Below are 27,394 nucleotides of genomic sequence, written 5' to 3' on the forward strand. Positions count from 1 at the left end.
TAGTCCCAAACTCCTGGGGTGAAGTGATTCTCCATGGCCTGTTCAAGTGCTGCCATTACATTACAGGTATGAGTCACCATGCCCAGCTAATTTTATTTTTAAAAAGAGAAAACAACTTCCCATAACTTCCACAGTTCAGTGCATTAGATACCAACACCTGCGTGTCTGTCTTAACCTGCGAGCTCTGTCACTCCTCCCACTGCTGTTACAGAGAGAGAATGGGACGGGTATGAGAAAAATGGCTCAGACCCTAGACAGAGTTCTATTTTGTAAACCAGCCCTTCATGAAAATTTTTTTATTCTTTGATCACATTATAATATAAAGAATATTATTAAAGGTTTTCTTGAATAATGGTGAATGTCAATAATATACAGCATTTGAGCTTGATTTTGAAACCTTAAAAAACTCATTAAATGGCACTGCATCACTGTATCTTTTAGCCTTTTTGGAGGAATTAGATACTTAAATGTCTAAATGAATCTGCCCTTTATATTATGATGTACCCCATCTTTTTCTCTGTTTTCCCTGTTTGCACATATATTTCACATTTAAAGGTGTTGTCTTTATGATACAGTTGGCCCTCTGTATCCATGGGCTCTGCATCCATTTATCAACGAACCCTGGATGGAAAGTGTTTAAAATATACAACAATTTTAAAAATACAAATGTTAATATACAACTATTTGGATAGCATTTACATTGTATTAGGTATTATGACTAATCTAGAGATGATTCTAGCTAGGCATGTGCCACACATCTGTAGTCCCAGCCACTTGGGAGGGTGAGCTGGGAGGATTGCTTGAGCCCAGGAGTTTGAGGCTGCAGTCAGCCGTGATTGCACCACTATATTGCAGCCTGGGTGACAGAGACCCTGTCGAAAACAAACAAAACCAGGAGGAAAAACACAGGGATGGAGACAGATCAGTGGGAAGAGAATTGAGAGTCCACAAATGCTATGGGTTGAATGTCCCACCCAAAACTCAATGTTGAAATTTAATTGCCATGGTAATGGCATGAAAGGTTGAGACCCTTAAAATGGCCATGAAGGGGCTGGTCGTGGTGGCTCACACCTGTAATCTCAGCACTCTGGGAGGCCGAGGCGGGTGGATCACCTGAGGTCACGAGTTCAATACCAGCCTGGCCAACATGGCAAAACCCCGTCTCTACTAAAATTACAAAAATTAGCCGGGTGTAGTGGCACACACCTGTAATCCCAGCTACTTGGGAGGCTGAGGCAGGAGAATTGCTCCAACCCAGGAGGCAGAGGTTTGCAGTGAGCCAGGATCGTGCTACTGCACTCCAGCCTGGGAGACAGAATGAGACTCTATCTCAAAAAAAAAAAAAAAGATGTCCATGAAGTCTCCACTTTCATGAGTAGGATTGGTGTCATGATAAAAGGGCAAGTTTTGTCCCCACTTGCTGTCTCTTGTCTTTCCTCCATGGGATGACATAACAAGAAGGCCCTTGCCAGATGTCAGTCTCTCAGTTGTGGACTTCCCAGCCTCCAGAACTGTGTACCAATATGTTCTTGTTCCTTATACGTTAACCAGACTCAGGTATTCTGTTATACCAACACAAATCAATTGATACACTGTGGGCAACTGATTTTCAACTAGAATGCCAAACTTATTTAATGGAGGAAAGAATAATTCCCTTAAAAAATGATGTCGGGGGCAGTGGCTCACGCCTGTAATCCCAGCACTTTGGGAGGCCAAGGCGGGCGGATCACAAGGTCAGGAGTTCGAGACCAGCCTGGCCAGCATGGCAAAACCCCGCCTCTACTAAAAATACAAAAATTAGCCAGATGTGGTAGCGGGGGCCAGTAATCCCAGCTACTTGGGAGGTTAAGGCAGGAGAATCGCTTGAACCCAGGAGGCAGAGGTTGCAGTGAGCCGAGATCGTGCCGTTGAACTCCGGCCTGGGTGACAAGAGCAAGACTCTGTATTAAAAAAAAAAAAAAAAAAAGTGTTGGGGCCGTGCGCAGTGGCTCACGCCTGTAATCCCAGCACTTTGTGAAGCGGAGGCGGGTGGATCACCTGAGGTCAGGAGTTCAAGATCAGCCTGGCCAACATGGTGAAACCCTGTCTACTAAAAATACAAAAAATTAGCTGGGCGTGGTAGTGGACACCTATCATCCCAGTACTTTGGGAGGCTGAGCTAGGAGAATCGCTTGAACCCAGGAGGTGGAGGTTGCAGTGAGCTGAGATTGTGCCACTGCACTCCAGCCTGGCAAGAAGAGTGTCAAAAAAAAAAAAAAAAAAAAAAGCTGGGACAATTGAGGTACAAAGATGAATTTGGACTCTTGCTTCACACCGTATACAAAACTTAACTCAAAAGTGTCCAAAGACCTAAACATAAGAGATAAACTCTTGGAGGAAAACATAGGAACATAGGAGTAAATCTTCATGACCTTAGATTTGGCAACGATTTTGTAAATATAATACCAAATATAATACCAAAGTATAAGCAGGAACAACAAAAGTAGATAAATTGGATTTTGTAAACATTTAAAACTTTGTGTATCAGACACTATCAAGAAACTGAAGTTCAACATGCAGAATGGGAGAAAATATTTAGAAATCATCTATCTGGGCCAGGCACGGTGGCTCACGCCTGTAATCCCAGCACTTTGGGAGGCCGAGGCGGGCGGATCACCTGAGATCAGGAGTTCAAGACCATCCTGGCCAACATGGTGAAACCTTGTCTCTACTAAACATAAAAATTAGCCAGATGTGATGGTGCATGCCTGTAGTCTCAGCTACTTGGGAGGCTGAGACAAGAGAATGACTGAACACGGGAGGTGGAGGTTGCAGTGAGGCGAGATCAAGCTATTGAACTCCAGCCTGGGTGGCAGAGCGAGACTCCATTTCAAAAAAAATAAAGAACAACCTATTAAAAATGGGCAAATTTCTGGGCACGGTGGCTCACACCTGTAATCCCATCACTTTAGAGGGCTGAGGTGGGTGGATCACGAGATCAAGAGCTCGAGACCAGCCTGGCCAACATGGTGAAACCCGTCTCTACTAAGAATACAAAAATTACCAGGCATGGTGGCACGTGCCTCTCATCCCAGCTACTTGGGAGGCTGAGGCAGGAGAATCACTTGAACCTGGGAGGCGGAGGTTGCAGTGAGCCAAGATCATGCCACTGCACCCCAGCCTGGGTGATAGAGCAAGACTCTGTCTCGAAAAAATAAATAAAATGAAAATTAAAATGGACAAATAAATAGAATCATTTTTTCCAAAAAAGATATACAGGTGTCCAGCAAGCACATGAAAAGATGTTCATAAATCATTGTGTAAGTCCAGTATCTGTTTCTTCTTGACATGGTCATCTGCTGATTTTCTTTTCCCCTGATAATTCATCACATTTTCCCAGTTCTTTGTATTTCAAATAATTTTAGATTGCACCCAGTGCATTTTAAGTATTATTTTCTAAGACTGTGTTCTGTTCAGATTATCTGAGAGTAAATGTTGGGTTTTTGGTTTTGGTCTTTTTGTTTGTTTGTTTTTGAGGCAGAATTTCGCTCTTGTCCCCCAGGCTGGAGGATAATGGGGTGATCTCAGCTCACTGCAACCTGTGCCTCCCGGGTTGAAGTGACTCTCCTGCCTCAGCCTCTTGAGTAGCTGGGATGACAGGCGCCCTCCACCACGCCCGGCTAATTTTTGTATTTTTAGTAGAGATGGAGTTTTGTCCTGTTGGCCAGGCTGGTCTCAAATTCCTGACTTCAGGTGATCCACCCACCTCGGCCTTCCAAAGTGTGGGGATTACAAGCGTGAGCCACTGTGCCAGGCCCAAACTGGATAATTTCAAATCCTCAGGGAAGGCAGACTTCCATTACTGGCCAAGATGGGATAAGCACATTTCAGCATCTCTCTCACTGATTTCTATTTAACACCCCAGAGTGAATACAAAAAGAAACCACCTGAAGATTCAGAAATACAAGTAATAGCAGGCAGATGTGAAGGGAGTTAAAAACGAGAAGAATGGACACGATGACCATATGTTTGCTGGGGGATTTTCCTCCTTTATCTTTTGGCTTTGGAAGGAGGGAAGTCTCAGAGCTGTGTGATGGGTTCAGGGAGCATAAATTATGAGAGAAATGCCTTCCTTCCAGCCAGAGGAGTCCAAAAGAGGACCTGGTGTGACAGAGTGAGAGAGGGGTTCTTTTTTTTAATTGAGACAGGGTCTTGCTATGTCACCCAGGCTGGGGGTGGGGGTGGCACGATCTTGGCTCAGTGCAGCCTTGACCCCTTGGGCTCAAGTGATTCTCCCACCTCAGCCTCCTGAGTAGCTGGGACTAGAGGCATGAGCCACCACACCCAGCTACTTTTTAAAATTTTGTAGAGACAGGGGTCTCACTCTGTTGCCCAGGCTGATTTCAAACTCCTGAACTCCAGGAATCCACCCTCCTTGGCCTCCCAAAGTGCTGGGATTACAGGTGTGAACCACCACACCCAGCCTTCCCTTTTTTCTGTTTTTCTTCTTTTCTCTACTGGCCTTGCACCAAGAACAGCCCCAGTCATTAGGCTGCTCTGCCACTGCCGTAGCTGTCAACCAAACCAAGAAAAAAGACCCATGGGATCCCATGTCTGTGTGTCTGAGTGGCTGGGGGCAGGGGGTGTCCTCTCTTTCTCTCTCTCTATTCTTGCCACCTCACCACAAAGTGGAGCTAGGTCTGGTCTTGTGAAAACGTGCCTGTTGGGGGCGCTGGGAGGGCAGCTGAAACTCTGACAGAAGGCCGGATGCGGTGGCTCACGCCTGTAATCCCGGGAGGCCGAGGCGAGCGAATCAGTTGTCAGAAGTTCAAGACCAGTGTGGTCAAAATGGTGAAACCCTTCTCTACTAAAAATACAAAAATTATCTGGGCGTGGTGGTGGGTACCTGTCATCCCAGCTACTCAGGAGACTGAAGTAGGAGAATTGCTTGAACCTGGAAGGTGGAGGTTGCAGTGAGCAAGATCGTGCACTCCGACCTGGGCAACAGAGCAAGACCCTAAAGAAAAAGTTTATTAATTTTTTTTTAAAAAGGAGGCTGGGCACGCTGGCTCACGCCTGTAATTTCAGCACTTTGGGAGGCCGAGGCCGGTGGATCACGAGGCCAAGAGATCGAGACCATCCTGGCAAACATGGTGAAACCCCGTCTCTACTAAAAATACAAAAATTAGCCGGGTGTGGTGGCATGCGCCTGTAATCCCAGCTACTCGAGAGGCTGAGGCAGGAGAATCGCTTGAACCCGGGAGGTGGAGGTTGCAGTGAGCCGAGATCGTGCCACTGCCCTCCAGCCTGGCGACAGAGCAAGACTACGTCTTAAAAAAAAAAAAAAAAAAGGAATTGTCGAATTCTACGCCTTAGATTAGAACGTGTCTTTTTCATCCACTGTGGTTGGTACTCGATAGGCTTGTATCTTGTTGACGGTCAGTTTTGGGACCTTTTCTCGTATTATGTGGTAATTTTCATTGTTGTGTTTTGTTTTCTTGAATCCCTACTGTTCAGTGGCTAGGCTAGAAACTGTTGGAAACTCTTAATTTATCATGTGACGTTTTATTTCTTTTGAGTTTAGGGATCCACAGCCTGAGACCCGGCGAGCCTCGCTGCCCTTGCGAGAGCCATGGATTCGCATTTGCGCAGAGTCGGGGTCTGTTGCTACGGGTCCCCTGGGCTCCTTTGAATCGCTTTGGCAGCTCCCTCGGTTTAGAGCTACAGGGTTTTCTCCCTCCCCTGAGACTCTAACGCGTGCACCAACTCGCGCCTAGAGGGCGTGTATGACCCCAGCTCAGTTCTAAGCCGAGGGGCTGCTGCCGGACATTCTAGGGTCTGATCTGGCGGGCTCGAAGGGAGGACAGTCACTGCGACCCGGAAAGCTCCGCGCTTACGACGCCCACCCAGAAAATCCGGATCACATTTCCCGTGGTCCACCGCGCATCTAGGAGGTTACCTGCGTCCAGGCGGTGACTTGCGAGGGACCACCTTTCCCAGGGTCCACGGCGCATTTAGGTGGTGGCTTGCTCTGGACTACATTTCCCAGGGTCCACCGCGGATCTAGGAGGAGGCTTGAGATGCAGCCTCCCAGCTTCGAGGCTACCACCTGCCCGAATTGGTGCTTTGGCAGAGTCTCTGGTGCCCGGGTGAATGGGTTCAGGGTCTCTTAAGGACCCTCCGTTGACGATGCCTCGAGCTATGACCCACCCTGGCTCCGTCCACGGTTGTCGGGGTCCCGGGCTGCTTTTCTTGGAGGGCTCGGTGCCGGAGGCTACTCTTGAGTCCCGGTTCCTTCGCCCAGCTGCGGGCCTCGGGCTACTGGATCCGCTGTCTCGGTTTGGGTGCGGGGCCTTGGCTCAGGCGGAACCCGACCGGGATCGCCCCGCGAGATGCAGTCGTTGAGGGAGTCAGGAGCCCGGGTCTGGGCGGGGACCCCAAGGCTGCTGGAGCCGGAGCTGGCGCGGGGGAGACGTGTGTGTGCGCGCGTGTGTCTCTCTGTGCGCGCGTCAGTGTGTGCACGCGTGTGTCTGTGTTTGCATCTCTGTGTGTGCACACGTGTGCCTGTGTGTGCGTCTCTGCACGTGTCTGTTTGCCTGTGGTGCACACGCGTGTCTGTGTGCGTCTCTGCGCGTGCCTGTTTGCCTGTGTGCACACGTGTGTCTGTGTGCGTCTCTGTGCGCACGTGTCTGCGTGCGCGTGTCTCTGCACAAGTGGGTGTGCGCGCACGTCTCCGTGTGTGCGTGTGTGTGTGTGTGGCGCTAGCCCTAGCCAGCTGTTTGACGTGCATGATTGTGACAGCAGCATGCATGATTGTGACAGCAGCATTAGGTGTGTGGCCACTTGTAACCACGTGAATGGCTTTTCTTGACTGTGTGTAACTCTTGCTTATGTTATTGACTGTATGTGAATAGTTACAGAGGGAGTGTCTGTATTGCCGAAGTAGTGAGAGCATGATGGTGTGTCATGAGCAGTTTTAGTGAAAGGTAGGAAGCAACCAGGGTGTTTTTCTTTCTACATTTACACACACCACTCACCAATGTGTGGAGTTTTTTTCTCCCACACTAAACAGTTCTTCAGCGGACACCAACTGGGTGTGCTACAGTTCAGTGCAATTCCAACTGTACCTGGAGATAGCAGCAGAACCCATCGGTTAAGGGCTTAGTCCCAAAATACTGCCCCCGCTTCAGATGCCAATTGCAGGTCCCAGGATGTGACCTGTGCTTCTGACCTACTGGCTATAAATCAAGGTTGCCATGACCCCTCAAGTTTGAGTATTTTGCTAGAGTGGTTCACAGAACTCTGAGAAACACTTTATTTATGTTTACCCATTTATTATAAAGGATATTGACAAGGATACAGATTAACAGCCAGAAGGAAGAGATGCATAGGGCAAGATATGGGGGAGGGGTGCAGAGCTTCCATGCCGTCTCTGGCTGCACCACCCTCCAGGAACCTTTACGTGTTCAATAATCCAGGAGCCCTCCAAACCCCTTAGTTTAGCAGTTTAGTTTAGTTTAGTAGTTTAGTTTTAGTTTAGTTTAGTTTAGTTTAGTTTAGTAGTTTAGTTTTAGTTTAGTTTAGTTTAGTTTAGTTTATCCCAGTGTAGGGGTGGGTTGCCCCTACACACCTGTGGGTGTTTCTCAAAGAGGGGGATGTGTCAGGGTCACAAGACAATTGTGGGGAGAGGGTCAGCAGACAAACACGTGAACAAAGGTCTTTGCATCATAGACAATGTAAAGGATTAAGTGCTGTGCTTTTAGATATGCATACACATAAACATCTCAATGCTTTACAAAGCAGTATTGCTGCCCGCAGGTCCCACCTCCAGCCCTAAGGCGGTTTTTCCCTATCTCAGTAGATGGAGCATACAATCGGGTTTTATACCGAGACATTCCATTGCCCAGGGACGGGCAGGAGACAGATGCCTTCCTCTTGTCTCAACTGCAAGAGGCATTCCTTCCTCTTTTACTAATCCTCCTCAGCACAGACCCTTTACGGGTGTCGGGCTGGGGGACGGTCAGGTCTTTCCCTTCCCACGAGGCCATATTTCAGACTATCACATGGGGAGAAACCTTGGACAATACCTGGCTTTCCTAGGCAGAGGTCCCTGCGGCCTTCCACAGTTTTTGTGTCCCTGGGTACTTGAGATTAGGGAGTGGTGATGACTCTTAAGGAGCATGCTGCCTTCAAGCATCTGTTTAACAAAGCACATCTTGCACCGCCCTTAATCCATTTAACTCTGAGTTGACACAGCACATGTTTCAGAGAGCACAGGGTTGGGGGTAAGGTCACAGAATCTCAAGGCAGAAGAATTTTTCTTAGTACATAACAAAATGGAGTCTCCTATGTCTACTTCTTTCTACACAGACACAGTAACAATCTGATCTCTCTTGCTTTTCCCCACACCCAGCTACTTGGGAGGCTGAGGCAGGAGAATCTCTTGAACCTAGGAGGCAGAGGTTGCAGTGAGCCGAGATCTTCCCACTGCACTTTAGCCTGGGTAACAGGGCGATGCTCAGTCTGAAAAAAAAAGATAAAGCAAAGAAAAAAGAAATTTACAGTTTATGAGCGAAAACAACATGGCTATAATTTCCGCAATGTAGACATTTCCAGGGTGTAATAAGATAGTTGGTTGAAAGCTGGGGATAAGGATATAGAAGATGTTTTGTGTCTACCTTGAGGAGGAAGAGGTGGGACATGACTGATTAGGGATAAAGGAGAGTAGAGTGCAGAGTCTTGGGAGACAGGACCTGGCTGTCCAGGCAAGTGTGGTGTGGGCGATGTTAATGACTTTCATGGGATGGACAGATGCCAAATTAAAGCAGCATATGCTAAAGGGTTGTTTTTTTTTTTTGAATAATGAGGGCAAACAGTGACATTTTGCAAAGATAAAATTCTCCCTTTTCCTAGACGAGGTCTCTCCTACTCTCACACCACTCAACACTCAATAAAGAACATTTCTGACACCAGATGTGTGGGTTTTTTCTCCACACACCAAGCAGTTCCCCATTAGACACCAACTGTAGGACTACAGTTCAGTTCAGTTCTGACACCACCTACCTGGAGATAGCGTCAGATCCCACAGGCTAAGGGACCAGTCCCACAAGATCCTTCCACTTCAGATGTCCATCTCAAGAGCCAGGTGGTGACCTGTACTTCTGACCAGCTATAAATTTGGGGTTTCCACATCCTCTCCTCAGGTGTGATTAATCTTCTAGGATGGCTCACAGATCTCAGGGAAACCATTTACTTAACATTAGTCCATTTAGTATAAAGGATATTACAGCTGGGCATGGTGTTGCCCGTCTGTAATCCCAGCACTTTCGGAGGCTGAGGTGGGCAGATCACTTGAGCCCAGGAGTTTGAGACCAGCCTCGGCAACATAGCAAAACCCTGTCTTTATTAAAATACAAAACTTAGCTTGGTGTGGTGGTGCACGCCTGTAGTCCTAGTACTAGGGAGACCAAGGTGGGAGGATTGAGCCTAGGAGGTTGAGGTTGTGGTCAGCCCAGATCTCACCATTGCACTCCAGCCTGGGCAACAGAGCGAGACCCTGTCTCAAAAAAAATTTTATTTATTTATTTATTTTAATAAAAAGGGCCGGACGCAGTGACTCACGCCTGTAATCCCAGCACTTTGGGAGGCTGAGGTGGGTGGATCACCTGAGGTGAGGAGTTTGAGACCAGCCTGCTCTCTACTAAAAATGCAAAAGTTAGCCGGGCATGGTGGTGGGCGCCTGTATTCCCAGGTACTCAGGAGGCTGAGGCAGGAGAATCGCTTGAACCCGGGAGGCAGAGGTTGCAGTGAGCCGAGATCGTGCCACTGCACTCCAACCCAGACAACAGAGAGAGAGTGTGTCTCAAAAAATAAAAAAATGAAAATAAATAAAAAGGATATTACAAAGGTTTTCGATGAAGAGGTACCTAGGGCAACATATGTGGGAAGTGGCATTGGGCTTCAATGCCCTCACCCCAGCACATCATCCTCCAGGAATCCCCACGTGTTCAGCAATCTGGAAGCTCTCTGAACCCAATCCTTTTGGGTTTTCATGGAGGCTTCATTACATAGGCATGATTGATAACATCATTGGCCATTGTCAGTCAACTCAACCTTCAGCTGCTGTCCCCTCCCCAGAGGTCAAGGGGTGGGGCTGAAAGTTCCAACCCTCATATCACATTCTGAGGCCATCCAGGAGCCCACCAAGAAGTCACCTCATTAGAACATACTATGCTCCTATCAGCCAGGAAATCCCAAGGGATTTGAGAACTCTGTGTCAGGAACTAGGGTCAAAGACCAGATATTAGAACAAATGATCCTCCTAGTACCCAAGGGTTTTAAGGAGCTCTAGACCAGGAGCTAGGGACAGAGACCAATATATGTGTATTTCTTTTTATTTTATATTCCCAGCTCCCCAAGGTTATCCATTTTAAAAGTCTAGTAAGTTTCCTTTACCTCTCTCCTTGCTCAAACATGCACATACATATATTGAGTGACTTTTATTCCCTTTTGCCTTTACTAGAATTATATGTAATTTTTTTTTTTAGCTTGTGTTTCTAGGGAAGACCTTATGGATGTCCTTCCAAATTAGTGCTTACTGATTTGCTGATTTGAGTAGTACTTGGAAGGACGTAATTTTTTTTTAATTCAAGCTTTTTATTATGGATACTTTCAACATTATATATGCAGAGAGCCTAGTACAGTGAATCCACCTTTGACAATTAACACATGGCGAGTTTTGCTTCATCTCTATTTCCACTTGATTATTTTAAAGAAAATTCCAGGCATTTCATCTATAAATATTTCAGTATGAAATATAGTTCTTTTAAGAACTTTTCTTAAAAGACAATTTTCGTATCATCATCTTAAGAAAATGAACAATTCCTGGCCAGGTGCCATGGCTCATGCCTGTAATTCCAGCACTTTGGGAGGCCAAAGCAGGAGGATCACTTGAGTCCAAGAGTTAGAGACCAGCATGAGCAACATGGCAAAACCTCGTCTCTACAAAAAAATACAAAAAATTAGCCTGGCATGGTGGTGCGCACCTGTAGTCCCAGCTACTTGGGAGGCTGAGGTGAGAGCATCACCTGAACCTGGGAATTTGAGGCTGCAGTGAGCCATGATTTCACCACTACATTTCAGCCTGGGTGACAGAGCAAGATCCCTGTCTCAAAAAAAAAAAAAAAAAAAAAGAAAAAGAAAAAAGAAAAAAAAGAAAAAAGACCAATTTCTTAAAATTACATAATCAGTTGCAGTTGATTTGTTCAAATTAGAATTAGTTTAGAGTTTAAACAAGATCTACACGTTGAGCTTAGAGGATAAAGCTCTTATATATCTTTTTTTTTTTTTTTTTTTTTTTTTTTTTTTGAGACAGAGTCTCTCTCTGTTGCCCAGGCTGGAGTGCAATGACACGATCTGGGCTCATTGCAACCTTCACCTCCCGGATTCAAGCAATTCTTCCCCCTCAGCCTCCCGAGTAGCTGGGATTACAGGTGTATGCCACCAGGCCTGACTAATTTTTGTATTTTTGTATTTTTTTTGTTTTTGTTTTTGAGACAGAGTCTTGTTCTGTCACCCAGGCTGGAGTGCAGTGGCGCGATATCGGCTCACTGCAACCTCTTTCTCCTGGGTTTAAGCGATTCTCTTGTCTCGGCCTTTCAAGTAGCTGGGACTACAGGCATGCACTATCATGCCCAGCTATTTTTTGTATATTCAGTAGAGGCAGGGTTTCACCTTGTTAGCCAGGCTGGTCTCAACTCCTGACCTCAAGTGATTTGCCAATCTTGGCCTCTCAAAGTTTTGTATTTTTGAAGAGACGGGGTTTCATCATGTTGGCCAGGCTGGTCTTGAACTTCTGACCACAGATGATCTGTCTGCCTCAGCCTCCAAAGTGTTGGGATTACGGGCATGAGCCACCACACCCAGCTGTCTCTTATATATCTTTTAATCTATTGACTTCCCTTTTTTCTTGCTATTTATGTTTTGGAGAAATCAAACACTAGATCATATAGAGTTTCCACATACTGCCTTTGAGTACACCCCCATGGTACTGATTAACAAATTAGATGCTCTGTATTTTCTCTAAAATATCTGGTAATTAACTAGAGCAGTGGTTCTCAACCAGTTGTGTTTTTTGTTTCTTTGTTTGCTTGTTTGTTTTCTCTAGAAGACATTTGGCAATGTTTGGAGATATTTTTGGTTGTCACAACTGGAAGGAAGGATGGTATTGCTGGCACCTATTGGCTAGAGGCCAGGGTGCTGCTAAACATCCTATACTGTACAGGACAGCCTCCTCCCATCCCAAAGAATTATCTGGTCCAAAGTGAAAATAGTGTCAGAGTTGAGAAACTGTGCTCTAGAGACTTGATCAAATTCAAGTTCAGTTATTTTGGCAAGATCTGCTTGTCACTATTTTGTGATCAGATTTGTTAGTGGGCTTAAGTGTCATCAATGTGATTTATCCATTGTAAAGTGATTGCCTTTTGCATAATGTCATGCATTCACTGATGATCAATGCCTAGATTCATTATGTTGTTAGGAGTTGCAAACTGATCACTTTCTTATTGTGTCTCTCTTTCAGCCATTACTGGAATCCTTTTATTTCCATTACTGGAATTTCCATTACTAGAATCCTTTTATAAAAATAAAATCTGCCCACATCAACAATCTGATTACTCAGAGGGATAGCATGTGTAGGAAAGGGAGGATAAATGCTTGATTCTTTCCATTCATATTCATTAGTTTTCAGAATTACGAATTTCAGAATACTGCATTGGTTTCCTAGTTTCCAAAGGTGATTGCAGCAGATTGTATTTTCCAAAGATGGTTGCAATAATAGGCTTGTTCCATATGTTATTCTAGAATCTTGCCATTCCCACTTTAAGAGGTGGAGTCTAACTCCTCTGCCTTTGAATCTGGATTGGTTTATTGTTTATAACCAATGCTGTGTGACTCCCAGGGCTCAGTTTAAGAGGCACTGTGGCCTTCACCTCATTAGCTGAAACTCCAGTGTTTGAAATCTTGAGCCATTATCTAAGAAGGTCCAAGTGCTCTGAGCCGCCATGCTATGAGGAAGCCAAGTCACATGGGGAGGCTACTAGTCCAAGTCTTTGAGTCCTCCCACCCCAGGTACCAGACATGTGTGCAAAGCAGGCTTCATAGGTTTGCAGCCCTCAGGTATCAGGTTATTCCCAGCCTTTGAATCCTCCTGGTTGAGGCCACAGACATCAGGAGCAGGGGCAAACTATCTGCTCTGTGAGCTGTCTGAATTCCTAACCCACAGAATCAGTGAGCACAGTAAAATCATTGTATTATACTACTGAGTTTGGAGTGGTGTATTATACAGCATCAGTAACTGGTGAACAATGACTGATATACCCACACTTGTTTATGTCATATTACACACACACACACACACACACACACACACTTTTTTTTCTTTAGAGGTGGGGTCTTGCTGTGTTGTGCAGGCTGGTCTTGAACTCCTGAACTCAAGTGATCCTCCTATCTCAGCCTCCCAAAGTGCTGGGATTACAGATGTGAGCCACTGCACCTGGCCTATACTGACATATTTTATTTTACTTAAAAAATTTTTGGCTGGGCGCGGTGGCTCACGCCTGTAATCCCAGCACTTTGGAAGGCTGAGGTGGGTGGATCATGAGGTCAAGAGATCATCCTGGCCAACATGGTGAAACCTCATCTCTACTAAAAATACAAAAATTAGCTGGGTGTGGTGGTACACGCCTGTATTCCCAGCTACTTGGGAGGCTGAGTCAGGAGAATCGCTTGAACGCAAGAGTCGGAGGTTGCAGTGAGCTGATATGGCAGCATTGCACTCCAGCCTGGCAACAGAATGAGACTCTGTCTCAAAATAATAATAATAATAATATGAGCAAGAACAACTGCACCTAACAAATAAAAACTGATGGTAATACATAAGGTTACACAAATATTCAAAGACATATCATGATTCGAAAACCACATTAACTGTTCTCTTGGCTATCCCATACCAAGTGGAGCCAAAGGCTCTGCACAGGTTTCCAAACCCGAATCATAGCCATGATAGCAACTGTGGTCCTCTCCCTCCTGGTTACCTGCTCACCTGAAGCAGGTAAGAGCCTGCTTGGCTTCCTAGAGAGGCACTTCTGAGGCAGGAGAATAGGAAATTAGTATAACCAAGCCAGGCGCAGTGGCTCACGCCTGTAATCCCAACACTTTCAGAGTCCGAGGCAGGCAGATCATGAGGTCAGGAGTTCCAGACTATCCTGGCTAACAGGGTAAAACCCCGTCTCAACTAAAAATACAAAAAATAAGCCAGGCATGGTGGCAGGCGCCTGTAGTCCCAGCTACTCAGGAGGCTGAGGCAGGAGAATGGCGTGAACCCAGGAGGTGGAGCTTGCAGTGAGCTGAGATTCCGCCACTGCACTCCAGCCTGGGCGACAGAGCGAGACTCCGTCTCAAAACAAAAAGGAAAAGAAAATTAGCATAACCAAGGGTTAAGGTGGAAGCAAAAGAACAGCAGGTGCAGCAAGTTCTAGGCCAGGTTAAGCAGCACACAGGCCACATCCTCACTCCTGTGATGACAACACAGAAGTCTCCAGTTCAGCCTCTGGCCACGGGCCAATCCTTCATAGGGTGTAACCAATTGAAGACCTCGAAAAGGCACTTATGGGTGTTATCAAATTCTTTAGCTTAATAACTCTAAAGAACATTGTAATCTGGGCTCCTGAGCCGCTTGCTCTAGCCCACTCTGGCTCTGTAGAGTGGACTTTTGCTTCAATAAATCTGCAGTTTCGTTGCTTCTTTCTTCTTTCGTGGCTTTGATCTTTTGTTGCTTCGTGTAGTTTGTTTAATTCTTTCTTCAGTGAGCCAGAAACATGGACAACTTGCAGTCAAGACCTTCCATCCAGTAAAACTTCTACATTCTAGAAGTCTCAGTATTGCCAAGAGATGTCAAGGCATCAAGGGGTCAAGGTTAAGGCCTAAGATTAAGGCTCAATGTTATACGTGCCCTGACACTGGGGGAAAACAAGGAGGGCTGAATGGATTAACTGCAAATTCCCTGCCCCAATGTACTCCTTTGAATAAGGTGCCCTAGCCCAAGCACTTCCTTCAGAGGCCAGGCACAGTACCTGCTTACTGCGTAGTAGTGGGCGTCAGGTTCCAGCCAGCCTGCAGAATTATTCAAACAGGCCATTCACACCCTCCTTCAAGAACCAGGGGTTACCTCCCATACTCTTGGTACTACAAAGCCTCCTGGAATAGCCTCCACCTGATTACTGTGTTCCTGAGTGCAACACACTGTACCCCACATGGTGTGCTGGGCTCTCCTTCCCTGGGGCGAAAGTATGGGTAATTAGCAAACCAATGTTCATCTCATCTATCCAGTGTTAGCTACCATGTGCTTAGCAATAATCTGCACTTCCTTTCTAATTCTTGAGAGACATCCGGGTCCTCTGCTCCTGGGTGGAGGATTTTAGAAAAAAGGTCACTCAGAATGGGCAGGTGACTTGAACGCCTGCGGGTCCGACACAGCACCAAACCTCGCCAAGGCCTTCAGAAACCAAAAGTGCAACTGCCAGGAAAATGACTGCCCGTTCCAGTCACAGGACCGGCTACACGACCCAGGCAGAGACCGAGAAAGAGGCTCACCAAAAAGGCCAACATGCAAGAAACTGCCCTCCAGAGAACAGGGGACGTTTGTCCAAAGACATACATGCACACTCCCATTCACACACACAGCCCCAGCAATTTTTTTCAGGGGCTGCAGCCTGATCCAGAGCAGAGCGCAGTCAGCCTTGGCAAGGCGCATACACAAATCGCGAGCGGATGCTCACGTCACAGAGACCGCCACCGTTGCCTGGAGATGAGTTCTTCACTCTCTGCGAAGGAGGAGCCTTCTGTAGCAGCGCATCGGCTCGGGGCTAAGTCTAGTCCTCACTGGGGCGTCGACGGGATGGTATCCGGAGGCCAGGATTCGCGGAGGTTCGACCAGGAGGAAGAAACCTCAGGCGGAGCGTCTGGGAAGCAGCGCAGTATCCCAGGCTCAGGCCTGCGTGGACGGTGTGCCGGTGAGTCTCCCCAAAAGTCGTGCCCTTGCGATCTCCAGGACAGGTCTGCTTGTATGCCCAAGGGCTGCTCTCTCACCCCAGGGTCGTTGTCGCTCAGAGCAGAACCCAGAGGCTTCAGGGGCTGCCTGGAGATGAATGTTACTGTGCCACTGCAGTATGTCTGGGTTGTGTCTCTTTCTCTTATTTCTGTTTTCATTCTCCGTCTATCACTCTCTACCAGTTTCCGTCCGTGTGTGCGCGGGTGCGTGCGTGTGTTGGGATGCATGGGCAATGAAGGGCGGTTTCTTGTACCTTGGCCTTTCTTCTGGTGAGTCTCTCCTCGCATCTCTGTCTGGGTCATGTGGCCGGGTGTCATTCGTTTTCCAGGCGGTTACAGTTTGGGTTCGTGACCGGTGGGCAACGTGGGGAGCTACATGAGACACGGCGGGGATTAAATCAGCTCCCAATCATGAGCGGCCTCATTGCTAGAATCAAGACAACTACACCCCAGCAAAGGAAAAAATTCTCACAAAAGCTCATCATAAACCTGCTTATGCAGGTCGAGGTGCCCATCGACCTCACTCCTCTCAATCCTCTCGCGTGTGCCCTCACTGAGAAATCTAGCCACAGCTCGATACAGGGACGGAAAAGGAAGCCGGCAACGGGATGGGGCAAACATCTCTGTGGCTCCAACGCTGGCCTTCGTGGCCAAGTCACCCGTTTGGCACTCCTCCCCGGATGGCCGTGGTGGTGGCATTGCCGCCAATCCTGCCTGGGCTCTGGCCTCTGCTCTGTCCTCCCTCTTGCTCTGTCTGCCCTGTTTCTGAGAGGCCTAGGGGCTTGTTAGTCTGGCTCAATGTCTTCAACCCAGAAGACTTCCCAGTCCATCCGGGAGAAAGTTCCTGGGGGTCGGTGTCATGATTGTTTCCTTCTCCAAACCTCTTTCAGCATGATTGGGCAGGTGTGGTGATCCTGGAGCTCTGGGCTTTCATAGCTGTCTGGGACAGGGAAGCTTTCTGGGTCTCTGTGGCCCCGTGGTCGGTCCAGGAAGAGCGGGAGGCAACCCGACCGTTCCTGACATTTGCCTTCTAGGAAAGGCGGTGTGGCATGCCACCTGCACTTCCTCTCTGATTCTTGAGGGCCATCGGGTTCCTCTGCTCCTGGGGAAAGAGACTTCTAGCACTGAATCTTCTGGCTGCCACGGATGTCAGGGAGCCAAAGGGACTGGGTTTTGCTGGGTGCAGGGGAGGTCGCGTCGGGGGTACCTACCCGGTCGCGGGGTGGGGGTGGGGTGTAGTTTGTGGAAAGCTCTCGGCCCCTCTGGCAGGCATCTCTGAATGTGGCTTGGATTCGGGCGCAGGCCCTGTCTCGCAGGTTTTCAGGTGCGCTTGGCTTTTCCTCAGCTTTGTTGCGGAGGTCTCCCGTGGCCCCCGGGCGCACGGCTGGACACCACTGTCCGTCTCGCCATCGCCCCCTACGGCCTCAAAGACACCTGCTCACTCCATCTGCTTTTGGGGACGTCGGTGCCACGTGTGGTCACACTGGCTCCATCTCGGACTCGCCTATGTCTGTCTTTGCACGTGTCGCGGGAAGCAGTGTCGGTATGCCGGAGCCCCCGGGCCTTGGAGATGAAGGCAGGCCACTGCTCCACCCAGGAAGGAGGGAGGCAGTGGGCTCGTGTGTCAGTTCATTTTCCGCCGACAGCACGCCTTGGGGCTCTGGGGATCTTTCTGTGCCCCAGCGAGACCCTTCCCGCCTCACTGCATTGCAACCCCATTCTCGATCACCCGGTGGGATCCATCCTCGGAGCCGAAGAGGAGTCTGCACAGCCCAGCCGGCACCCTGAAGCTCCTCCTCCACTGGGAACGAAGCAGAAGACCGATCAAGGAGGTCCTGACGGCAGGACCCCTACGGGTCCGACCCTGGGTCTCCCGCAGGCCCCTCTGGCAATCCTCTTCCCACCCGCCGCCTCGGGCTGCGCTGCCTTCGCCGCCGCAAGCGCCGCCACCGCCGCCCCGGTCCCCGCAACCTGCCGCGTCGCCGCCATTTTTTAAAGGGTCCGCAGCCTGACTCTCTGGGGCGAGGGGCGAGTCGGCCTCTCCAGTGCGCATGCGCGAGGCCGGAGCCGCCGCTTTGGTCACAGGGATCACCACCGTTGCCCCGGGGTGAGTCCCTGAGACTGGGCCAAGTAGGAACCCTCTGTGACCGAGCGTCAGAGTCGGGGCTGAGATCAGTCCTGGCCAGGGCATTAACAGGATGGTCTCGGAGGCCGGGATTCGCGGAGGGTCGACCAGCAGGGAGAAGCCTCAGGAGGAAGAAACCTCAGACGGATCGCCGGGGAGGCAGCGCGGGATCCCAGCCTCAGGTGTGTGCGGACGGTGTGCCCGTGAGTCTCCCCAAAAGTGGTGCCCTTGTGATGTCGAGGACAGGTCTGCCCGTGTGCCCGTGGGCTGCTCTCTCACCGGTGGGTCGTAGTCGCGGAGAGCAGAACCCAGCAGCTTCAGGGGCTGCCTGGGGCTGGGTGTTACCTGCTGTATGTGTGTCTGCGTTTGGGGTGTGTGTGTGTGTGTCTGTGTGTGTCTGTGTGCCCACTTATGTCTCTCTCTGATATCTCTCTCTCTCCCTTCTCGCTCTTTCCATCGCTCTCTTTTACTATCTCTGTCCATCTGTGCCTGCGTGTTTGCTGGGACACAGGTGCCCTTTGCACCAGAGGGTGGTTTCTCCCACGTCAGCCTTTCCTGTGGTCAGCCTCTCCCCGGGTCTCTACCTGGGTTGTGTGGCCCGTTGGCAGACGTTTTCCCGGCGGTTCCAGTTTGGGTTTGTGAAGGCCTGGGCAACATGGGCACCTGCGTCGGACCCGCAGGGATTTTCATCCCCTCCCTATCCTGAGCAGCCTCTTTGCTGGGATCAAGACGACCACACCCCAGCCAAGGACAAAGTCCTCAGAGGGGCTCATTGTCCACCCGCAGGAGGGTGCCCACAGATCTTGAAGAAGACGCTTCTCACTCCTCTTGCCCTTTGCCCTCCTTGAGAAATGTAGCCACAGCTCGACACAGGGACGGAGAAGGAAGCCGGCAACGGGATGGGGCAAGCATCTCTGTGGCTCAAACGCTGGCCATCTTGGCCAAGTCACCCGTTTGGCACTCCTCCCCAGATGGCCGTGGTGGTGGCATTGCCGCCAATCCTGCTGGTCTCTGGCCTCTGCTCTGTCCTCCCTCTTGCTCTGCCTGCCCTGTTTCTGAGAAGCCTAGGGGCTTCTTAGTCTGGCTCAATGTCTTCAACCCAGAACTCTTCCCAGTCCATCCGGGAGAAAGTTCCTGGGGGTCGGTGTCATGACTGTTTCCTTCCCCAAACCTCTTTCAGCATAATTGGGCAGGTGTGGTGATCCTGGAGCTCTGGGCTTCCATAGCTGTCTGGGACAGGGAAGCTTTCTGGGTCTCTGTTGCCCCGTGGTCGGTCCAGGAAGAGCGGGAGGCAACCCGACCGTTCCTGACATTTGCCTTCTAGGAAAGGCGGTGTGGCATGCCACCTGCACTTCCTCTCTGATTCTTGAGGGCCATCGGGTTCCTCTGCTCCTGGGGAAAGAGGCTTCTAGCACTGAATCTTCTGGCTGCCACGGATGTCAGGAAGCCAAAGGGACTGGGTTTTGCTGGGTGCAAGGGTGGTGGGGTCGGGGGTACCTACCCGGTGGCGGGGTTGGGGTGGGGTGTAGTTCGTGGAAACCTCTCAGCCCCTCTGGCAGGCATCCCTGAATGTGGCTTGGATTCCTGCACAGGCCCTGTCTCGCAGGTTTTCAGGTGTGCTTGGCTTTTCCTCAGCTTTGTGGTGGAGGTCTCCAGTGGCCCCCCGGGCGCACGGCTGGACATCACTGTCCGTCTCACCCTCACCCCCTACGGCCTCAAAGACACCCGCTCACTCCATCTGCTCTTGGGGGACGTCGGTGCGCGTCCGTGTGAAGAGACCACCAAACAGGCTTTGTGTGAGCAACATGGCTGTTTATTTCACCTCGGTGCACGCCGGCTGAGTCCGAAAAGAGAGTCAATGAAGGGAGATGGATTATCATTAGTTCTTGTAGGTTTTGGGTTAGGCGGTGAAGTTAAGAGCCATGTTTTGCGGGCAGGGGTGGATCTCACAAAGTATATTCTCAAGGGTGGGAAGAATTTCAAAGAGCCTTCTTAAGGGTGGGGGATATTACGGAGTACATTGATCAGTTAGGGTGGGGCAGGAACAAATCACAATGATGGAATGTAATCACTTAAAGCTATTTTGACTTCTTTTGTGGATCTTCAGTTACTTCAGGCCATCTGGGTGTATACGTGCAAGTCACAGGAGATGCGATGGCTTGGCTTGGGCTCAGAGGCTGGACATTCCTGCCTTCTTATATTAATAAGAAAAATAAAATAGTGTTGAAGTATTGGGGCGGTGAAAATTTTTGGGGGGTGGTATGAAGAGAGAATGGGCGATGTTTCTCAGGGCTGCTTCAAGCGGGATTGGGGTGGCGTGGGAAGCTAGAGTGGGAGAGATTAAGCTGAAGGGAGATCTTGTGGAAAGGGGTGATATTGTGGGGATGTTAGAAGAAACATTTGTCATATAGAATTATTGGTGATGACCTGCATACGGTTTTGGATGGATTGAGAAACTAAATGGAAAAAGAGAAGGAGAAAAACAGGTATAAAAGGTCTAAGAATTGGGAGGACCTAGGACATCTGATTAGAGAGTGCCTAAGGAGATTCAGCATAGTCCTGCCAGCAAAGATTATTTATTTACTTCAAGAGTTTAGAGTGGCAGTTTGGGGATGGCACCAGGAGATATCAGCTGTGATGGCTTGGAGAAACAGTGTAAACTGGCAGTGTAAACAAGAACAGGGCATGTATGAGTAGTTGAGAACGGTGAATAGGAGTATGACTAGAGAGAAGATAGTAGGGATGGCAAGTTTTTTTGGGGCACAGTCTAAGTTGGTCTGGTGTCAAATGAGACTGGGGCCTAATAAAAAGGAGCGTCTATACAGGAGCTTAAATGCGCTGCACCTTGCAGCATTCTGACGACAGGTCTGACTTCTGAGAAGGGAAAGTGGTAAAAGTACTTTCCAGTCCTTTTTAAGTTGGTGGCTGAGCTTGGTGAGGTGTGTTTTTAAAAGACCTTTAGTCAGTTCTACTTTTCTTGAAGACAGAGGACCATAAGGGATATAAAAGTTTTACTGAATACTAAGAGCCTGAAAAACTGCTTGGCTGATTTGACTACTAAAGGCTGGTCTGTTACCAGACTGTATTGAGGTGGGAAGGCTAAACTGAGGAATTATGTCTGACAGAAGGGAAGAAATGACTGTGGTGGCCTTCTCAGACCCTGTAGGAAAGGCCTCTACTTATCTAGTGAAAGTGTCTACTTAGACTAAGAGGTATTTTAGTTATCTGACTTGGGGCATGTTGAGTAAAGCTAATTTGCCAGTCCTGGGTGGGGGCAAATCTTCAAGCTTGATGTGTAGGGAAAGGAGGGGGCCTGAATAATTCCTGAGGAGTAGTAGAATAGCAGATGGAACACTGAGAAGTTATTTCCTTGGGGATAGATTTCCACAATGGAAAGGAAACGAGAGGTTCTAAGAGGAGGGATAGTGGCTTGTACTATAGCATAGCCTGCCTTTGCTGGTGTGTGGCGATTAGGCCTGGTGGAACTGCCATCAATAAATCAAGTGTGATCAGGGTCAGGAACAGGAAAGAAGGAAATATGGGGAAATGGGATGAATGTCAGGTGGATGAGAGAGATAGTCATGGGGGTCAGGTGTGGTATCAGGAATAATGTGGGAGGCTGGATTGAAGTCTGTGCCAGGAACAATGGTAATTGTGGGACTTAACAAAGAGTGAGTACAGCTGAAGGAGTCAGGGAGCAGAAAGTATATGCATCAGGTATGAGGAAGAAAATAGATTTTGGAAGTTATGAGAAATGTAGAGAGTGAGTTGAGCATAGTTTGTGATTTTGAGGGCCTCTAAAAGTATTAAAGCAGTGGCAGCCGCTGCACACAGACATGAGGGCTAGGCTAAAACAGTAAGGTCAAGTTGTTTGGACAGAAAGGCTACAGGGTGCAGTCCTGGCTCTTGTGTAAGAATTCTGACACACAAACCATGCCTAGGAAGGAAAGGAGTTGTTGTTTTGTAAGGGATTGAGGTTTGGGGAGATTAACTGGACACGATCAGCAGAGAGAGCACGTGTGTTTTTCCGAGAATTATGCTGAGATAGGTAACAGATGAGGATGAAATTTGGGCTTGACTGAAGTAATGGGGTCTGTCTGTGAAGCCTTGCGGCAGTACAGCCCAGGTAATTTGCTGAGCCTGATGGGTGTCAGGGTAAGTCCAAGTGAAAGGGAAGAGAGGCTGGGATGACGGGTGCAAAGGAATAGGAAAGAAAGCATGTTTGAGATCCAGAACAGAATAATGGGTAGCAGAGGGAGGTACTGAGGACAGGAGAGTACATGGGTTTGGCACCATGGGGTGGATAGGCAAAACAATTTGGTTGATAAGGCGCAGATTCTGGACTAACTTGTAAGCCTTGTCTGGTTTTAGGACAGGTAAAATGGGGGAATTGTAAGGAGAGTTTATAGGCTTTAAAAGGCCATGCTGTAGCAGGTGAGTGATAACAGGCTTTAATCCTTTCAAAGCATGCTGTGGGATGGGATCTTGACATTGAGTGGGGTAAAAGGGTGATTAGGTTTTAATGAGATGGTAAGGGGTGCATGATCGGTCACCAAGGAGGGAGTAGGGGTATCTTATACTTGTGGGTTAAGGTGGGGGGATACAAGAGGAGGATGCAAAGGAGGCTTTGGATTGGGAAGAAGGGCGGCAATGAGATGCAGCTGTAGTCCAGGAATAGTCAGGGAAGCAGATAATTTTGTTAAAATATCTCGGCCTAATAAGGGAACTGGGCAGAGGGGGATAACTAAAAAAGAGTGCATAAAAGAATATTGTCTAAGTTGGCACCAGAGCTGGGGAGTTTTAAGAGGTTTAGAAGCCTGGCTGTCAATACCTACAACAGTTATGGAGGCAAGGGAAACAGGCCTTTGAAAAGAAAGTAATGTGGAGTGGGTAGCCTCCGTATTGATTAAGAAGGGGACGGACTTACCCTCCACTGTGAGAGTTACCAAAATCTCGGCGTCTGTGATGGTCTACGGGGCTTCCGAGGAGATCAGGCAGCATCAATCTTCAGCCGCTAAGCCAAGGAGTCAGTCAGAGAGCTTTGGGCCAGAGTTCCAGGGGCTCTGGGAGTGGCTGCCAGGTGAGTTGAACAGTCCGATTTCCAGTGGGTTCCTGCACAGATGGGACATGGCTTAGGAGGAATCCTGGACTGCAGGCATTCCTTGGCCTGGTGGTCAGATTTCTGGCACTTATAGCAAGCTCCTGGGGGAGGAGGTTCTGGAGGAACGCCTGGCGGCTGCGGTTCAAGCGTTTGGAAGTTCTTGTGTGCTGGAGATGTAGCTGGGGTTTGTCTCACAGTGGAGGCAAGGAATTGCAACTTTTTTTTTATTATTGTACACCTTGAAGGTGAGGTTAATTAAGTCCTGTTGTGGGGTTTGAGGGCCAGATTCCAATTTTTGGAGTTTTATTTAATGTCGGGAGCAGTTTGGGTAATAAAATGTATATTGAGAATAAGATGGCCTTTTGACCTTTTAGGGTTTAGGGCTGTAAAGCGTCTCAGGGTTGCTGCCGAACGAGCCATGAACTGGGCTGTGTTTTTATATTTGATGAAAAAGAGCCTAAACGCTTCTGATTTGGGATAAAGAGAAAGGAGTATTAACCTTGACTATGCCTTTGGCTCCAGCCACCTTTTAAACAGTAAATTGCTGGGCAGGTGGAGAGGGCTAGTAACAGAACGAAAGTGTAAGCTGGACCAGGTGTGAGGAGGGAAGGCGATAAAAAGATTACAGGATGGAGGAGCAGAGGCTGAGGAAGAATTAGGACCTAGCTCGGCCTGGCGAGGAGGGGAGAGGTCAGATGGGTCTGTAGAAAAGGAAGATTACAAAGACTCAGCGACACTTGGGGTTGGGACTGAGGGGACAGGTGGGAGGGAAAGAAAGAAGATTTGGGAGCAGTTGCACTGGGCACAGAGACTAGGAAGGGACTGATGTGTGAAAGAATGCCTGGACATCAGGCCTCCTCAGACCATTTGCCCATTCTATGACAAGAATTATTTAGATCTTGTAGGGTGGAAAGATTGAAAGTGCCATTTTTGGGCTATTTGGAACTACTGTGGAGTTTGTATTGGGGTCAGGCAGCATTGCAGAAGAAAATAAGACGCTTAGATTTTAGGTCAGGTGAGAGTTGCAGAGGTTTATAAGTTCTTAAGAATACAGGCTAAGGGAGAAAAAGGAGGAATGGAGGGTGGAAGGTTGCCCATAGTGAGGGAGGCAAGCCCAGAGCAAAGAGAGCATAGAGAGAGGGAGGGAAGGGGTTCAGGGGTTCTCACCCTCCAGAAAAGTGGGAAAGGGGTTGTAGCGTGGAAATAAGGGATTGGGGATTCTTGCCACCTAGAAAAGTGGGACTTGCTGCTAAGGGTGAAGGAGAAGGGGTTGAGGGGTACTTGCCCCTACCCCAGAAAAGCAGAGAAGGGGTAGAGACACAGAAGGGGTTGGGGTACTTGCCCGTCCCCTAGAAAAGTGGGACTTGCCACTAAGGGTGAAGGAGAAGGGGTTGAGGGGTTCTTGCTCCTGCCCCAGAAGAGCAGAGAAGGGGTAGAGACACGGAGAGAAGGGGTTGGGGTACTTGCCCCTCCCCCAGAAAAGCGGGACTTGCCGCTAAGGGTGAAGGACCAAGGCAGGCGTCCCTGCATGGTCTGACACCTTTGAAACATGGGTGAATAATCAGAGAGGTGGGCCTGCAATGATTAAACACCAAGGGAAGCCTGCCTTCCCAGTCCGTGACCGGCGCCGGAGTTTTGGGTCCACGGATAAAACGTGTCTCCTTTGTATCTAATAGAAAATGAAAGGAATTGAAATTAAGAGATGGGAGAGATTGAAGTGTGGTGCCAAGATTGAAAGGAGAAAGAGGTTGGAGGGATAGTGAGAGAAGTTGGAGAGTAAAAAGAGGCCGCTTACCGGAAGTGAAATTGGTGAGATGTTTCTTGGGCTGGTGAGTCTGAGGACCTGAGCTCATAGGTGGATCTCTCTCACGGAGCAAAGAGCAGGAGGATGGGGGATTGATCTCCTAAGGGAGGTCCCCCGATCCGAGTCACGGCACCAAATTTCATGCCCGTCCATGTGAAGAGACCACCAAACAGGCTTTGTGTGAGCAACATGGCTGTTTATTTCAACTGGGTGCAGGTGGGCTGAGTCTGAAAAGAGAGTCAGCAAAGGGAGATGGATTACCATTAGTTCTTATAGGTTTTGGGATAGGTGGTGAAGTTGATAGCAATGTTTTGCGGACAGGGGTCGATCTCACAAAGTACATTCTCAAGGGTGGGGAGAATTACAAAGAAACATCTTAAGGGTGGGGGAGATTACAAAGTACATTGATCAGATAGGGTGGGGAAGGAACAAATCACAATGGTAGAATGTCATCAGTTAAGGCTATTTTGATGTCTTTTGTGGATCTTCAGTTACTTCAGACCATCTGGTGTATATGTTCAAGTCACAGGGGATGCGATGGATTGGCTTGGGCTCAGAGGCCTGACACTGGCCTTCCAGGCAAAGTCACCCATTTGGCACTCCTCCCTGGATGGCCCTGGTTGTGGGATTGCCGCCAGTCATGCCTGGGCTCTGGCCTCTGCTCTGTCCTCCCTCTTGCTCTGCCTGCCCTGTTTCTGAGAAGCCTAGGGGCTTCTTGGTCTGCCTCAATGTCTTCAACCCAAAAGACTTCCCAGTCCATCCGGGAGAAAGTTCCTGGGGGTCGGTGTCATGATTGTTTCCCTCTCCAAACCTCTTTAAGCATGATTGGGCAGGTGTGGTGATCCTGGAGCTCTGGGCTTCTATAGCTGTCTGGGACAGGGAAGCTTTCTGGGTCTCTGTGGCCCAAGTGATGGCTGCGTGGTCCGTCCAGGAAGAGCGGGAGGCAACCCGACCATTCCTGACATTTGCCTTCTAGGAAAGGCAGTGTGGCATGCCACCTGCACTTCCTCTCTGATTCTTGAGGGCCATCGGGTTCCTCTGCTCCTGGGAAAAGAGGCTTCTAGCGCTGAATCTTCTGGCTGCCACGGATGTCAGGGAGCCAAAGGGACTGGGTTTTGCTGGGTGCAGGGGAGGTGGCATCACGGGTACGTACCCGGTGGCAGGGTGGGGGTGGGAGTGGGGTGAAATTTGTGGAAACCTCTCGGCCCCTCTGGCAGGCATCCCTGAATGTGGCTTGGATTCGGTCGCAGGCCCTGTCTCGCAAGTTTTCAGCTGCGCTTGGCTTTTCTTCAGCTTTGTGGCCGAGGTCTCCCGTGGCCCACGGGCGCACGGCTGGACATCATTGTCCGTCTCGCCACGCCCCCTACGGCCTCAAAGACACCCGCTCACTCCATCCGCTCTTGGGCGACGTCAGTGCCACGGGTGGTCACACTGGCTCCATCTCAGACTCGCCTCTGTCTGTCTTTGCATGTGTCGTGGAAAGCAGTGTCGGGATGCCCGAGCCCCCGGGCCTTGGAGATGAAGGCAGGCCACTGCTCCACCCAGGAAGGAGGGAGGCAGTGGGCTCGTGGGTCAGTTCATTTTCCGCCGACAGCACGCCTTGCGGCCCTGGGGATCTTTCTGTGCCCCAGCGAGACCCTTCCCGCCTCACTGCATTGCAACCCCATTCCCGATCACCCGGTGGGATCCATAGTCGGATCTGAAGAGGAGTCCGCACAGCCAAGCCGGCACCCTGAAGCTCCTCCTCCACCGGGAACCGAAGCAGAAGACCGATCAAGGAGGTCCTGAGGACAGGACTCCTACTGGTCCGACCCTGGGTCTCCCGCAGGCCCCTCTGGCAGTCCTCTTCCCACCCGCCGCCGCAAGCGCGCCACCGCCGCCACCGCCGCCCCGGTCCCAGCAACCTGCCGTGTCGCCGCCATTTTTTAAAGGGTCCGCAGCCTGCCTCTCCCGAGCGAGGGGAGAGTCGGCCTCTCCAGTGCGCATGCGCGAGGCCCGAGCCGCCACTTGCGTCAGTGATCACCACCGTTGCACCGGGGTGGATTCCTGAGACTGGGCCAAGTAGGAGACCTGTGTGACCGTGCGTCAGAGTCGTGCCTGAGACCAGTCCTGGCCAGGGCGTTAACAGGATGGTCTCCGGAGGCCGGGATTCGCGGAGGGTCGACCAGCAGGGAGAAGCCTCAGGAGGAAGAAACCTCAGACGGATCGCCGGGGAGGCAGCGCGGGATCCCAGCCTCAGGTGTGCGCGGACGGTGTGCCCGTGAGTCTCCCCAAAAGT

The 27,394-nt window shown here is 49.5% G+C and overlaps 1 protein-coding gene and 1 long non-coding RNA gene across 2 annotated transcripts in view, besides 5 other annotated features; both read right to left on the reverse strand.

Annotated features, from left to right (window-relative positions):
* Positions 1-6,391, reverse strand: part of ZNF565 (zinc finger protein 565) — a 63,869-nt gene extending 57,478 nt beyond the window's left edge. The window contains exon 1 of the mRNA NM_001366188.1: positions 5,939-6,391. The gene's annotated coding sequence lies outside the window, so the exon portion shown is untranslated. The remainder of the gene's footprint in view (positions 1-5,938) is intronic.
* Positions 1,347-1,547: a silencer, noted in NCBI's record as "peak3459 fragment used in MPRA reporter construct". NCBI's record gives its function as "represses an SCP1 promoter by STARR-seq MPRAs in K562 erythroleukemia cells {active_cell/tissue: K562}" and the evidence as "EXISTENCE:reporter gene assay evidence [ECO:0000049][PMID:32103011]".
* Positions 5,218-6,206: an enhancer, noted in NCBI's record as "H3K27ac-H3K4me1 hESC enhancer chr19:36735657-36736645 (GRCh37/hg19 assembly coordinates)". NCBI's record gives its function as "activates a minimal SCP1, AML or CMV promoter by ChIP-STARR-seq in naive H9 embryonic stem cells {active_cell/tissue: H9 hESC(naive)}" and the evidence as "EXISTENCE:reporter gene assay evidence [ECO:0000049][PMID:30033119]".
* Positions 6,238-6,461: a silencer, noted in NCBI's record as "fragment chr19:36736677-36736900 (GRCh37/hg19 assembly coordinates)". NCBI's record gives its function as "represses an EF-1alpha promoter that drives an FKBP-Casp9 reporter gene in an ReSE screen in K562 erythroleukemia cells {active_cell/tissue: K562}" and the evidence as "EXISTENCE:reporter gene assay evidence [ECO:0000049][PMID:32094911]".
* Positions 7,195-8,183: an enhancer, noted in NCBI's record as "OCT4-NANOG-H3K27ac hESC enhancer chr19:36737634-36738622 (GRCh37/hg19 assembly coordinates)". NCBI's record gives its function as "activates a minimal SCP1, AML or CMV promoter by ChIP-STARR-seq in primed H9 embryonic stem cells {active_cell/tissue: H9 hESC(primed)}" and the evidence as "EXISTENCE:reporter gene assay evidence [ECO:0000049][PMID:30033119]".
* Positions 18,258-18,876: an enhancer, noted in NCBI's record as "H3K27ac-H3K4me1 hESC enhancer chr19:36748697-36749315 (GRCh37/hg19 assembly coordinates)". NCBI's record gives its function as "activates a minimal SCP1, AML or CMV promoter by ChIP-STARR-seq in naive H9 embryonic stem cells {active_cell/tissue: H9 hESC(naive)}" and the evidence as "EXISTENCE:reporter gene assay evidence [ECO:0000049][PMID:30033119]".
* Positions 20,003-27,258, reverse strand: LOC124904707 (uncharacterized). Its single transcript, XR_007067246.1, has 2 exons — positions 25,108-27,258; positions 20,003-23,323 (listed from the first exon to the last, which is right to left on the reverse strand). It is a non-coding gene; the product is annotated as an uncharacterized LOC124904707 (long non-coding RNA).
* Positions 27,259-27,394: the final 136 nt, after the last annotated feature.

This window comes from Homo sapiens, chromosome 19 (genome assembly GCF_000001405.40).
Source record: "Homo sapiens chromosome 19, GRCh38.p14 Primary Assembly".
In the NCBI taxonomy this organism is placed as follows: Eukaryota; Metazoa; Chordata; class Mammalia; order Primates; family Hominidae; genus Homo; species Homo sapiens.